Source organism: Homo sapiens, chromosome 6 (genome assembly GCF_000001405.40).
Source record: "Homo sapiens chromosome 6, GRCh38.p14 Primary Assembly".
Classification (NCBI taxonomy): Eukaryota; Metazoa; Chordata; class Mammalia; order Primates; family Hominidae; genus Homo; species Homo sapiens.
The window spans coordinates 45,002,756-45,018,314 of NC_000006.12; the positions used below are offsets into that span (position 1 = coordinate 45,002,756).

Consider the following 15,559-nt stretch of genomic DNA (forward strand, 5'->3'; position numbering starts at 1 on the left):
ATTCTTTAAAGGTTGTTGAAGTTTATAAAGCATGTATGTCTACTGGACCTCCTCCAAAGTTTAACATAAAATAATTATATCTTCAGCATGCATAGAAACTATAAAAAAGTTGGCACTTAGCACATCTTTTGCAATTCTGAAATTACCTCCATTGCCCAACTGAAAGAGAAGGGGAAAATGGAGATTCCTTATATGTGAAAGTATGATAATAGCAATATGAACTGTGAAAATACTGTCTTGTAATTTGGAAGGCACTCAAATGCAATAAATCATTTTACTTTAAATTTTTCCTTTAGTGTTTAAAGAAATAATAATTTTATGTATAGATAGCTAAGGTAAAAAGAAGACATATAATTTTCAAATGCATTGTTAAGACATATCCAGGGAATCCAAATACATGTCACTAATTTTGTCTTGCAGTGATATAAAGCATGTAACTGCCCTGGGTACTACCCTAGCTAGTAAGTCCAATCAGAGCCTGCAACTATAGCCAGAAGAATAGCTCTTCACACTATATATGCCAACATAAAAGCAGTAAGAATTAGTTTTGTTTACAAATAAAACTGGATGATTTGAAACAAGAAAGGTAAATATTTAATTAGAAATTAGCTTCATAAAATAAAATCAGTAAATGTCAGATCCAGAGTAGGGAAACCTAATCATTTTCAAAACGGGAAATAAGGAAACAGAAAACAGAAGTTGTTTCCCAAAGTTGATGCTGAAGGCAGATCTGACTCCCACTTCAGGGGCTGATCCTCTGCACATCGCTGCCATCAGACATAAAACCACTGACTTAGAGATTTCAGACAACATTTAAAGAACATGAGAATAGGACCAAACAGCATAGGCACTGCAATGATTGTTCTATTTCTGTAAAAAGGGAAGAATGTACTATACCTCCATTCTTTCTTGTTTAACTTCATCAATTTCGTCATCTTCAAACATTGCTAAAAGTTCTCCTGTCTGGTCAATAGAGTTGAGGAAGTCCTGAGCAATCTTTTGTCTTTTGTTCGCATTATTGCTGCCACTCAATTTGTCTTCATGAAGTCAAGGGAAAGAAAAAAAGAAATGTTCTCAATAGGTTTACATCAGCACTAATTATTACATGTATTAAATATAGTATACCAAATTCAGAATTGGGATTCTCTGAAAATAATCTTTTAAAAAATTCTTGCATTCAAAATAAAAGTATAAGTCATACAGAATTAAATAATTTTTCATGTCACAAATTAGAATGAAAGAATAGAACCAAATGATCAATTATCAAAGTAAGTGTGAAAGGGCTAATTAAATCCCTTATAAAAAGGAGAGAGTGGTGTGCTCAGATTTGGAAAAAGAATACTGTTATATAGTATTTATAACAAACACCTCTGAAATGAAATGACAATACAAAAAATGATGAGTAAGGATATGCTAGGCAAATACAAGCTAAGAAAGCAGAACTGGTAACATTAACGTTAGAAAATACAGCTCAAGACCAAAAACACTAAAGGAGACAGGGTGAAATACTATCTAGTAATAAAAGGAATTTTAAACGGCCATAAACTTTTATGTAACAAAATAATAGCAAAATGAATAACACAAAGGAAATCTTAAAAAGCACAATTATTGTGAGATATCTGAATATATATATTTTTAAATTTGACAACTTAAGGTTACAGAAGATTTAAAAAATATATATCTCTAAGCACATTAACAACTATATACATATAAGAATCTATATTATCATCTTAGGTCCATAGATCTTTTTCTTCATTTTTATCATTTCTTTTAAATTTTTAAATCAAAAAGTTTTATAAACATCTATAAATTAAAATATATTAAAATATCACATATCATTTTTGCTTGATTACTCTTTCCCATTTCCTTCCCTTTTACATGATCAGCCAAATTCCAACTCAAAATCTTGTAACTCATATTAACACCACCCAATATGTATTCTCCATGCTCATATATCCATAAAAATACATTCATTTATAGAGCTGTTTTATTCATTTATATTTTCTAGAAAAGGGTTCTTATGATATTCCTTCTATTTCTTTCTGGTCTTGCACTTCATGTTTCTTCGTCAATTAGGAAGAAAAATCCCTCCAAGTCAACTGGTACAGCCCTGATTCCTTCTTAACGGCTGTGTAATATTTTACAGTATGTATGTACCACAGCTTTCCAGCCAATCCCCTATTGATGGGCATAAACTTTGTTTCAGGTTTTTGCTACCCAGGGGAAATGCAGTAATGAACATCCCATCCATATGGCATTCTGTATGGTTGGCTTAATGTTTATGGCATAGATTCACAAGGATGGAACTACTGAGTTAAAAGGTACAAACATTTTAATGGAAGTTAAGAGATTGTTTACCAGTGCATTAACCTTCAAGTTTCCAAGACTAATGAGGAATGCCTTGTCTCTCCATGAGAAAAGCCTAATAAATGTAAAGTGATACATCATTGTGATTAAAATATTTAATTTCCCTAATGAATCTAAACATGTTTTCCCATATGTTTGTTAGCTATCTGAATAAGCCTTTCTGTTAATTGTCTAGTTTTATCCTTTGCCCATTTTCAACTGGGTTGCCTTTTTCTTAACAATTCAAAGGGCTCTTTTATATTACCCCTTTGTTATCTAAGTTAAAAATGTTTATCCTAGTCTTTCATTTGCCTATGAATTTTAAAGCATCTTTTGCCACTAAAAAATTTAAAATTTGCCAGGCGTGGTGGCTCACGCCTGTAATCCCAGCACTTTGGGAGGCTGAGGCGGGCGGATCACCTGAGGTCAGGAGTTTGAGACCAGCCTGACCAACATGGAGAGACCCTGTGTCTACTATAATCACAGCTACTCGGGAGGCTGAGGCAGGAGAATCGCTTGAACCCGGGATACAGAGGTTGTGGTGAGCCGAGATTGCTCCATTGCACTCCAGCCTGGGCAACAAGTGCAAAACTCGTCTCAAAAAAAAAAAAAAAAATTTAATTTCTATATTGTCAAATAAGTTCATTTTTTCTTTTATAACTTTTGTTTGAGATGACTTCTCTCCACTCACACAGATGGAATGGATCCTATCAGATATCTATTCTTATTTAAATTTGTAAAGGTTTACTTTGTGGCCAATTTTACAATTAAGTTTTGTAAATGTTCTGTAGATATATTGAAAAAATTCATAGACCCTCTATTCCAGATAAATACAGGTCGAAGCATATCTTGCTATTTTGCTGATTTACTATTTAGTGCTTATGGGTCTATTATGTTAAAAATTGTGTCTTCTATAATTATTCCTCTTTATCCTGTTTTATTATTATTATTATTACCCTTTATCCTTCTATAAAATATTCCTCTTTGTTCTGTTTGGGCTTTTAATGTTAAATTATAGCTTGCATGATGCTAATATTGCCACTTCCGCTTTCTTTGCATTTGTGTATGCATTTATTTACCATTTATTTGTTCATCGCATTATTTATAACCTTTCTTTATGTTCAAGTTTTATTTTTGTGGTTGTTTATAATGTCTCAATGTAAGAATTTAATCCATTTCATAATTAGTGCAATGACCGATATATTTCATTTTTATTATTTTCTCTTGCTTTATATTTGGTATTTATTTCATATTCTTGTTTTTTCCTTTTCCTTTCTTCATTTTTAATGGTTTGGCCATGTTGATAGTCCTTCCATTTCTTCTCATTGTTAATTTGAAATTGTAATATACTTTTCTATTCTGTTAACGTTTACCACCCCTTTTTCCATTTTCTTTAATGTTTACCTCGCTCTTTTCTGGTTGGACACATTGCTTGAACATATTTTAGACAACAGTTTCCATTATTATTTAAAGTAAGATATCAATTATACTCCTACCAAGAGGTAACATTTTCCCAATCAAGTAACTTTTTCTTCTAACGTTTCACCCTTTCCAGTATCAAGAGACCTTCAGAACACTTTCATTTTCCCTATCTCAGCTTCCTATCAATAGACCTTTGAAAAATTTTTACTTCACCCCTTCTCCATCTCTAAACTTTTGGCTTTCCGATGAAAAGGGGTATTATTTTTACAGTATTAACAGAATTTCACCAGTATTTTAAGAAATTTAGCGCTTATATTGCATGTTCTCACATATTGTATCATTAGAGATAAATACTGAGTCCAAACAAGATTAACTACTCAACATACTTCTTTCCTATTCTTCCTTTTTCTAACTTTGAAGTTTATCACTGGGATCTATGGATGATTTACTTTCTGCATTTGCATTTACTTTCTGCACTTGATATTTGCATATTGTCGAATATGTTTCTTTAGCACTATAGACAGATATCTTATCTTGGTTGGGTATAAAGTCCTTGGATTGCAGTCCCTTCCTCTCATGAATCGATAAATATGATTCTAGTGCCTTCTAGCTTCCGGTGTTATACATGAGAAGTCCAATTATAATGTGATTCATTTAATAATTCCTTTTTTGGAGGTAGAGGAGGCTGAGCTTTTGTAAGATTTTCTCATTATGTTTAGAGATCAAGAATTTTACTAAGACATTCCAGGTGTTTATCTACTCAACTTTTTTTACTCTGCAGTCTTGGATTATTCTTAGCTCTATAATTTATTAATAATTGCCTCTCCTCCATCTCCTACTTTTACTTTCTGAAATGCCTATCATATGCATCTTAACTCCTCCGAATTTATCCTCTATATCTCTTACCTTTTTCCCTCATAATTTTCATATCTTTACATTTTTCTATGTGCTTTGAGATAACTATTGCATTTTATTCTCCCTAATTAGGTCTGAAGAGTGACTTTTTGACAAAAAATCATTTAGTTGTGAATTACTGTGTGTTAACTCTAGAAAATCTCTTTTGTGCTACATTTGAGTCCCACTATTGTTCTCCTTACTTTTTAAAATTTAAGTTGTCATCTAATCCCAACTATTTTGCTGGCAGATATTACGTTCTGTCTTAGCTTCCTCTATGTTGGTGCATTACTCCCCTCACCCTAAGTATTCCCCCCCACTTTTTTTTTTTTTTGCTGCTTGATGGGATTCAGTTGTAATGTAATCAATGGTAAGGGTTTGAGTGGAGGATTTTAATGGGATTTTAAATGATTCCCTATCTCAATCTTCCCCTCCACCAACTCTAGGCAACCACTACTCTACACTCCATCTCTTTAGATTTGCCTATTCCAGACATTTCATATAAATAGAATAAAATATCTGGTCTTTGTGATTGGTTTCTTTCATTTAGCTTAATATTTTCAAGGTTCATCCATGTTTTAGCATATATCAGTATTTAATTCCTTTTTATAGCCAAATAATATTCCTTTATATGAATATTCCATACTTATTTATCCATTCATCCACTGATAGACATTTGGGCTATTTCCTTTTTTATTATCATGAATGCTGCTGCTAACACTCATGTACAAATTTTTATGTGAATACATATTTTCATTTATCTTATTCCACTTCTTTTGCTAGGAATGGAATTTCTGGTTCAGTTGGTAAATCTATGTTTACCCTTTTGAGGAACTTCCAAAATGCTTTCTGAATTGTCTGCACCATTTTATACTCTAACAACTTAAGAAGGTTCTAGCTCTCCATGTCCTCAACAGCACTTGTTATTATCATTTTGTGTGTTTGTTTGTTTTTAATAGATAGGGTCTCGCTCTGTTGCCAGGCTGGAATGAAGTGGTGCAGTCACAGCATACTGCAGCCTCTAACTCCTGGGCTCAAGTAATCTTCCCACCTCAGCCTCCTGAGTAGCTGGGTCCACAGGCACATGCCACTGAGACTGGCTAATTAATTTTTTTTTTCTAGAGATGGGGTCTTGCTTTGTTGCCCAGGCTGGTTTCAAAATCCTGGCTTAAAGTGATCCTCCTGCCTCAGCCTCCCAAAATGCTGGGATTATAGATATGAGCCACCATACTCGGCCTTGTTTTTATCTTTTTGATCACAGTCATCCTAGTGGGTGTGGAGTATTATATCAATGTGGTTTTGATTTGCATTTCTCTGATGGCTAATGACTTTTTTTTTTTTGAGATGGAATCTCCCTCTATTGCCCAGGCTGGTGTGCAATGGCACAATCACGGCTCACTGCAACCTCTGCCTCCTGTTTCAGGGTATTCTATTGCCTCAGCCTCCCAGGTAACTGGGATTACAGGCACACACCACTATACCCAGCTCATTTTTTGTATTTTTAGTAGAGATGGGGTTTTACTATGTTGGCCAGGCTGGTCTTGAACTCCTGACCTCAAGTGATCCACCCGCTTCAGCCTCCTCAAGTGCTGGGATTATTTATAGGCATGATTTTTAAGTATCTTTTTCAGTGTCTATTGTCCATTAGTTAATCTTCTTTGTAGAAATCTCTATTCAGACCCTTTGCCCATTTTTAAATTGGGCCACTGTCTTTTTATTGTTAAGTTGCATGCATTCTTGATATATTCTATACAAAAGTACCCTATCAGATATATAAGAAAAATTTTCTTCCATTCTGTGGTTTGTCTTTTCACTTTCTTGATGTTGCTCTTTGAAACATAAAACTTTTAAAATTGATCAGTTAATTTATTAGTCATTGTTTTGACTTTGAAATAATTGATCAAGTCCAATTTTCCCTTTTTCTTTTGCTGTTTGTGCTTTTGGTGTCATACATTCAGAATGCTTTGCCTCCTCCAAAGTCATCAACATTTATTACTGTATTTCTTTTTAAGAATTTTATAGTTTGAGCCCTTGTATTTAGGTCTATGATCCATATTGGGTTAACTTTGTGTACTGTGTTGTTGTAGGTGCCCAAATTCTTTCTCTTGGACGTGGATATCCAGTTGCTCCAGCAATATTTGTCAAAATGGCTATTTTTTCCCTATCAAATTCTCTTGAAATCCTTGTCAATATCAACTGATCCTAAATGCTCATTACTGAACTCTCATTCCATTCCATTTCATTGACAAATATGTCTACACTTATGCCAGTACTGCTCTATCGTAATTACTGTAGCTTTATGGTAAGTTTTGAAATCAGTAAGCATGAGTCCTCTGACTTTATTCTTTGTTAAGATTGTTCTAGGTATTCTAGTTCCCTCACGACCTAGATGAGTCATTTCCATATCAGAATCTGGTATTTCTATATGATTGGTAGAATCAGCGTATTCATGATTGGTAGAATCAGTGTATTCATTTCTACAAAAAAGCAGATGAAATCTGTAGGCCAAGTTGGAGAGTATTAACACTTTAATAATACTGAATGTTCCAATCCATGAACGTAGGATGTCTTTCCATTACTATCTAGGCCTTCTTTCAACAATATTTTGTAATTTTCAGTACATAAATCTTGCAGGTCTTTAGTAATTTTATTCCAAAATATTTTATTCTTTTTGATGCTATTGTAAATGGCATTGTTTTCTTAATTTCATTTTTGAGGTGTGCATAGCTGATATATTAAAATATGCTTGATTTTTGCATATTTCTCTTATATCCAGCAAACACATCGAACCAGTCTATTAGTTGTAATAGTTTTTATTGAATTTCTTAGAATTTTCTATATACAAAATTATGTTATCTGTAAACAGAGGTAGTTGTACTTCTTTTTTTCTAATCTGGATGCCCTTCATTTCTCTTTCTGACTAAACACCTGGCTAAAACCTTCAGTACAATATTGCATATAAGTGCCATTAATGGACATCTTTGTCTTGTTCCCGATCTTATAAGGGAAAGCATACAGTCTTTTACCATTAACTATGATGTTAGGTGTGGGTTTTCCATATATGTCTGTCTTAGCTCAGGCTGCTACAACAAATACATCATAAACTGGGAGGCTTAAACAACAAACATTTATTTCTCACAGTTCTGGAGGTTGGGAAGTCTAAGATCAAGGTGCCAGTAGATTTAGTGTCTGGTGAAGGCCTGCTTCATGGCTTACAGATGACATGATCTTGTTGTATCCACATATGGTGGACAGCAGAAACAGAAGAAACAAACTTTCTTGTGTCTCTTCTCAGAAATGCCCTAATCATAAAGGTTCCATCCTTATGACCTAATTTTTAATGCTTCCCACAATTCTCATCTCCAAATACTACCACACTGGGAATTAGGCTTCAACATATATATTCAGAGGGTGAGGAGGGACAAAAACATTCAGTCCATGCAATCATCTTTATCAAGTTAAAGAGGTTTCCTTCTCTTCCTGGTTTGTTGAATGTCCCTCTCATTAAACACTTTTGGAATTTTGTTAAATGCTTTTCCTACATTTATTGAGGTGATCATGTGATTTTTCTCCTTTATTCTGTTAATTTGATGCATTACATGAATTGTTTTCTAAGTTTAAAACAACTTTATATCCCTATGACAAATCCCATTTGGTCATGGTTTATAATCCTTTCTATACTTGCTGAATTCAGTTTAATGGCATTCTGTTGAGGATTTTTGCATCTGTATTAAAAAACATTGCAGTCTGGTTTTCTTTTCTTGTGATATCTTTGTCTGGTTTTCATATCAGGCTCAATCTATATTACCTTTATAGAATTAGTTGGGAAATAATTGGTATTCTTCTTTAAACATTTGGTGGAATTCAACAGTGAAATAATCTGTGACTGAGCTTTTCTTTGTGGAAATTTTTAAGCTACTAATTTAACCTTTTGCTATTGTCCTGTTCAGATTTTCCATTCCTTCTTGATTCAGTTTCAGTGGTCTGTGTCTTCATAGTAGACCAACTGTATATTTATATAGTTTGTTATATTAACCATTTTATTTGCCACTTCTGGTTCTTTTCATTTCTTTCTATAACTTGAGGTGCCATTTCCTTACCCCAGTACAGCATTATTACCACTTACCTCATTCGTGTCATTACTGTCAAATATATTATATTTCCAAACATTACAGACCCAACATAACAATTTTTATATACATAGTGTTTTATATAGCTGCTTTATAAATCAATTTTAAAAAGGAAATATACAATTATACTATCTCTTATATTTATGTACTTAATTATCTTTATAAATGTGTGAATTCAAATTATTTGGTGCAGCTTGCTTTTAGACAACTATACTTTCTCTTATATTTATGTACTTAATTATCTTTATAAATGTGTGGATTCAAATTATTTGGTGCAGCTTGCTTTTAGCCTTAAAAACTTTTCTTACATGGGTCTGACGGCAAGAAATTCTCCTGGTTTTTGTTTATCTGGGAATGTATTTTGCATTCATTTTTGAAAGATAGTTTTGCTGGATATAAGTTTCTCGGTGGAGAAGTTTTTTCTTTCAGCACTTTGAATATATCATCCCACTGCCTTCTGATTGCTATGTTGATGAGAAGTCAGCCATAAATATTGTCAGGGTCCCCCTGTATATGCTTTTTTCTTGTGACTTTCATGATTTTTTGTCTGTTTTTTTTTTTCCCACATTTTTGGTAAAAGTGTCTTAGTGTAGATTTCTTTATGTTTATCCTAATTGGAGCTTGTTGATATGCTTGAATTAGTAGACTGGTAGTTTTCATCAAATTTGGGAGGTTTTCAGTCATTATTTCTTGAATATTTGTTTTTCTACTTTTTCTCTCATCTTCTGATACTCTCATTATGTGTATTTTTACACACTTAATGGTGCTCTACATTTCTCTGAAGCTGTTAATTTTTCTTTATTATTTTTTCACTTTTTTCTTCAGATTGTAAACTCTTTAATGATGTCTTCAAGTTCAGATTCTTTCTTCTGCCAGCTGAAAACAACTATTGAGCCCTTCTGAATTTTTTCATTTCAGTAATTGTATTCTTGAACTCCGTAATTTCTATTTTTTAAAATAAATTCTGTCTCTATTGATACTCTTTACTTTGTGAGACGCTATTATCATATCTTCCTTTTTTAAAAATTTTATTTCCTTTAGTTATTTGAACACATACATAATAGCCCCTTTGATGTTTTTGTCTGCTAAGTCCTACATCTGGGCCCCCAAAAAGCAGTTTCTATTGTCTACTTTTTTTTTGTCTCCTTTTTATTGTTCACACTTACCTATTACTTGGCATATCTAGTATTTTGTTGTTGTTGTTGAAAAGGGACACTTTAGATAATACAGTGTAGCAAATCTAGACAACTCCCTCCCCTCCCTGGGGCTTGTCATTGTTTATTTCATGACTTGGCTGAACTAGTACAATGAAGTCTCTTCCCTTGCAGTATGCAGCCTCTGATGTTGTTCTTCAGAGGGTGCAGCCTTGAGTATGCAAACAATCTCCTCCATAACCAGAGATGACTGTAGTTTTAGTCAGGGGGTGTTTGGCTGTTACCTTCCCTGATCTCCCTATTAAGTTTCTGGCTGTTTTGCCTCTACTGTTATCACATACAGCTGTTAGCCCCCACTAATTGACAGCTGTTTGCTCCACTGTTTCTGATAATACCCTTGGGCATAAATTGCTCCAGAGATTGATTGATCTAAATAATGTTGGGCCCCTGTGAAATGTTGCCAGCCTTTAAGTTTTGCTCTGACTGCAGGAGGGCTCTTTTTAACTATCTCTTTCCCTTGTTTTCTTTGTTTAACATCTAGCTGACCCACTGTTTTGCTTTTTGCTACCAGTATCATGGAGCTACCAGTCCCCTCTTAATCACTCATCACCAGGATCTTCATTGTTGTTGTTGTTATTTTTACAATGAACTTAGGTATGAACTTCCACACACTCTGTTCCAAGCAGTGACGTGGAAGAGCTGCAGAGCTTTCTGCTCCTAAGGTCTGAGCCGAACATCTGTACCACTGTACTGAAGCTGAGGGTGGACCTGCAATTAACTTCTCCTGGAAAGACTTCCCTGGATCTGAGAATGGTGATCTGGAAAGGGAAGCAACCCCTAGACTTCTAGGCTTGTCTATTCTGGTATGTAGCTTTGCTCCCTATGAGAGCTAGGGTGGTGGCAATCAGAGCCCAGTATTCTCAGACTACCATGTCTGAGGTAGAGCTTTTATCCTATGAGCTGAGGTTAAGTGAGAAAAGGGAGCCCCAGTCATCTCAGCTGTGCCTGCCTAGAATAAAGCTTTTGCAACATGGGGCTGAGGGAGATGAGAGATGCCTACCTCTTGCCCCTTCTGGGGTAAAATTGTTGCCCTAGAATAAGAACTGGAGGGGCAAGCTACACTCACTCAGAGTAGAGCTTCTGTCACACTGAGTTAAGGTGGCAGAATGGTGAAGAGTGATCATGTGAGCAGGTCATGGTTTAAATGCAACAGACTCTCAATACTGTTCTTAACAAGATTTAGTTGATCTTGAATATGTGTTGCCCTGCTTGCTGTACGTGCTTAGGACAATTTCTACAGACTTTAAATGATTATTTCAAAAAAAATTTACCAGTTAAATGTGTTTCACTGGGGAGAGACTCTGCCATCCTTACATAGCCATTTCAGAAGTCCCACGTCAAGATTAGATGTGTTCTACCTGAATATTTTACTTTATAATTTCTATCAACTGTTTTTTTTTTAAGTTTTAGTGTGCTTTTTGTAAGACACACAAAATTAGAACATACAAATGAAGATAAGGGGGAAGATTTGAAATGAATGAGAGGACATCAAACTAATATGATGGTTTAGCAAAACTGAATATTACTCTTACCATCCCAAACTTCATGGTGTCTGAAGCATGGTGTTAACTGCTATCATTCATTTAGTGGCAGGCAGGTATCAAGTGCTTTTCATATATTATGCTAAACTCTCCTAAGCACTCCACGTGTTACACAATATAATTTCCCTCCACATAAATGAGGAAACTGACCCTCAAGGTCACACAAAGAAAGCAGAGAACTGGTATTGATTGGAATTCCGGTCTGTTTTACTCTAAGTCTGCATTCACTATGTGCTCCATAAAAAGAAACATTTCAATTCATCTGCAGAACTATTTTTCAAGAATTAGAATCTATGAGAAGTGTAGTAATATTAAATAGGTAACACGGTATAATATGTTTTATCAGAAATATATACTTTTGCAAGGGTATTCCACTTGATTTGTTGACAGTAAACAAAATTAACTAGTTCTCCAGTTACATTGGAATTGCATAAATGTGTTATCCAGCACACATGTGTCATAAGCTCATGTTTTAGTTTTGTGTTTTGTTTTGGTTACCTTCGAGAAGATCATCCTCATCGATGCCTTTGACAATCTTTGATTTGTAGTCTCGGATAAACATGTATTTTAGCAGTCTTCTAAGTTTTTTCTATTAAAAATATAAAATAAGTAAATAAGAAAACCTATACATATATTCACTTTACTGATTAAAGACTACTATAACCAAATTTAATAAACTTGTACCCCATGATATCAGAGAAAGTAAAGTAATCCTTAGCATACTGCTATGACATAAAAAGGTAGTCATCAAACACAAAGGCTAAAATACAAGTCTTTTAAAAAGCAGTTTTCATTTACAAATATTCGGATGTTCCAGAATCACAATACTCACACATTGCTTAATGAAGGGGATCTAAGAAATGCCTCCTCAGGAGACTTCATCGTTTTGTGAACATCACTGAATACACTTACACAAACCTAGATGGAACAGTCTAATGCACACCTAGGCTACATGGTGCGGCCTACTATTCATGGGCTACAAACTGGTATGCAAGGGTAAGAAAATGGTAAGTATTTGTATATCTAAACATTTCTAAATATACAAAAATTAGTTAAAATACCATGTAAATGACAAAAAATGATACATTTGTAGAGGGCATATACCATGAATGAAGCTTGTAGGACCTGAAGTTGCTCTGGTTGAGTCCATGAATGAGTGGCAAGTGAATTTGAGGGCCTAGGACATTACTGCATGCTATTGCAGACTTTATTTTTAAAAAAGCTGTACACTTAGGCTACACTACATTTAAAATTTTTCTTTCTTCAATAATAAATGTGCCTTAGCTTACTTACTGTAACTATTTTACTTTATAGACTTAATTTAAAAAATACTTCACTCTTACAGTAATACTTAGCTTAAAACACAAACACCTTACACAATTGTACAAAAACGTTTTTCCTTTATATCCTTATTCTATAAACTTTTTTCTACTTTTAAATTTCTTATAGCTTTTTAAACTTCTCTGTTAAAAACTAAGATGCACACACGCGCGCGCACACACACACACACACACACGCCTATGCCTACATAGGGTCAGGACCGTCAATATCACTGTCTTCCACCTCCACATCCTGTCCCACTGGAAGGTCTTCAAGGGCAATAGCATGCATGGAACTGTCAGCTCCCTTGATAACTGCTTTTTTATTGGTATATCTCATGAAGGAACAACCTCAGGTGGTTCACAGTTAAGTGTTTTTTGCAAATAGTACACTCTAAAATAATGATGGAGTATTATAAATACATAAACAAGTAACAATCATTTATTATCTTTATCAAGTATTATGTACTATACATAATTTTATGTGCTATGCTTTTATACCATCAGCAGTGCAGAGGTATACACCAGCATCACCACAAAGTCGAGTCATGCATTGCACTACAATGTTAGTATGATACCTACAACATCACTTGATAATTGGAATTGTTCAGCTCCATTATAATCTTATGGGACTACTGCTGTATTTGCAGTACATTTTTGAAAAACAGTTCATCATATGGTACCTGACTATAATTGTTTTTTAAATTTTTTTTTATTTATTTTTTTATTTTATTATTACTATACTTTAAGTTTTAGGGTACATGTGCACAATGGGCAGGTTAGTTACATATGTATACATGTGCCATGCTGGTGTGCTGCACCCATTAACTCGTCATTTAGCATTAGGTATATCTCATGCTAACCCTCCCCCCTCCCCCCACCCCACAACAGTCCCCAGAGTGTGATGTTCCCCTTACTGTGTCCATGTGTTCTCATTGTTGAACTCCCATCTATGAGTGAGAACATGCAGTGTTTGGTTTTTTGTCCTTGTGATAGTTTACTGAGAATGATGATTTCCAATTTCATCCATGTCCCTACAAAGGACATGAACTCATCACGTTTTATGGCTGCATAGTATTCCATCGTGTATATGTGCCACATTTTCTTAATCCAGTCTATCATTGTTGGACATTTGGGTTGGTTCCAAGTCTTTGCTATTGTGAGTAGTGCCACAATAAACATACATGTGCATGTGTCATTATAACAGCATGATTTACACTCCTTTGGGTATATACCCAGTAATGGGATGGCTGGGTCAAATGGTATTTCTAGTTCTAGATCCCTGAGGAATCGCCACACTGACTTCCACAATGGTTGAACTAGTTTACAGTCCCACCAACAGTGTAAAAGTGTTCCTATTTCTCCACATCCTCTCCAGCACCTGTTGTTTCCTGACTTTTTAATGATTGCCATTCTAACTGGTGTGAGATGGTATCTCATTGTGGTTTTGATTTGCATTTCTCTGATGGCCAGTGATGATGAACATTTTTTTCATGTGTCTTTTGGCTGCATAAATGTCTTCTTTTGAGAAGTGTCTGTTCATATCCTTTGCCCACTTTTTGATGGGGTTGTTTGTTTTTTTCTTGTAAATTTGTTTGAGTTCATTGTAGATTCTGGATATTAGCCCTTTGTCAGATGAGTAGGTTGTGAAAATTTTCTCCCATTTTGTAGGTTGCCTGTTCACTCTGATGGTAGTTTCTTTTGCTGTGCAGAAGCTCTTTAGTTTAATTAGATCCCATTTCTCAATTTTGGCTTTTGTTGCCATTGCTTTTGGTGTTTTAGACATGAAGTCCTTGCCCATGCCTATGTCCTGAATGGTAATGCCTAGGTTTTCTTCCAGGGTTTTTATGGTTTTAGGTCTAACATTTAAGTCTTTAATCCATCTTGAATTAATTTTTGTATAAGGAGTAAGGAAGGGATCCAGTTTCAGCTTTCTACATGTGGCTAGCCAGTTTTCCCAGCACCATTTATTAAATAGGGAATCCTTTCCCCATTGCTTGTTTTTCTCAGGTTTGTCAAAGACCAGATAGTTGTAGATATGCAGCGTTATTTCTGAGGGCTCTGTTCTGTTCCATTGATCTATATCTCTGTTTTGGTACCAGTACCATGCTGTTTTGGTTACTGTAGCCTTGTAGTATAGTTTGAAGTCAGGTAGCGTGATGCCTCCAGCTTTGTTCTTTTGGCTTAGGATTGACTTGGCGATGTGGGCTCTGTTTTGGTTCCATATGAACTTTAAAGTAGTTTTTTCCAATTCTGTGAAGAAAGTCATTGGTAGCTTTATGGGGATGGCATTGAATCTGTAAATTACCTTGGGCAGTATGGCCATTTTCACGATATTGATTCTTCCTACCCATGAGCATGGAATGTTCTTCCATTTGTTTGTATCCTCTTTTATTTCCTTGAGCAATGGTTTGTAGTTCTCCTTGAAGAGGTCCTTCATGTCCCTTGTAAGTTGGATTCCTAGGTATTTTATTCTCTTTGAAGCAATTGTGAATGGGAGTTCACTCATGAGTTGGCTCTCTGTTTGTCTGTTATTGGTGTATAAGAATGCTTGTGATTTTTGTACATTGATTTTGTATCCTGAGATTTTGCTGAAGTTGCTTATCAACTTAAGGAGATTTTGGGCTGAGACGATGGGGTTTTCTAGATATATAATCATGTCGTCTGCAAACAGGGACAATTTGACTTCCTCT

At 34.8% G+C, this 15,559-nt stretch overlaps 1 protein-coding gene across 29 annotated transcripts in view; it reads right to left on the minus strand.

Annotated features, from left to right (window-relative positions):
* SUPT3H (SPT3 homolog, SAGA and STAGA complex component) overlaps positions 1–15,559 on the minus strand; it is a 568,878-nt gene that overhangs the window by 193,699 nt on the left and 359,620 nt on the right. For 28 of the 29 annotated variants that reach the window (NR_146632.2, NR_146634.2, NR_146633.1 and 25 more), the window contains 2 exons: positions 12,046–12,136; positions 898–1,037 (listed from right to left, as the gene is read on the minus strand). Coding sequence is in view for 18 of the 29 variants with exons in the window: in NM_001350327.2 (NP_001337256.1) it covers positions 898–1,037; positions 12,046–12,136 (231 nt within the window). In the remaining 11 variants the exon portion in view is untranslated. The remainder of the gene's footprint in view (positions 1–897; positions 1,038–12,045; positions 12,137–15,559) is intronic. The other variant, NM_001261823.2, reaches the window with a different exon arrangement.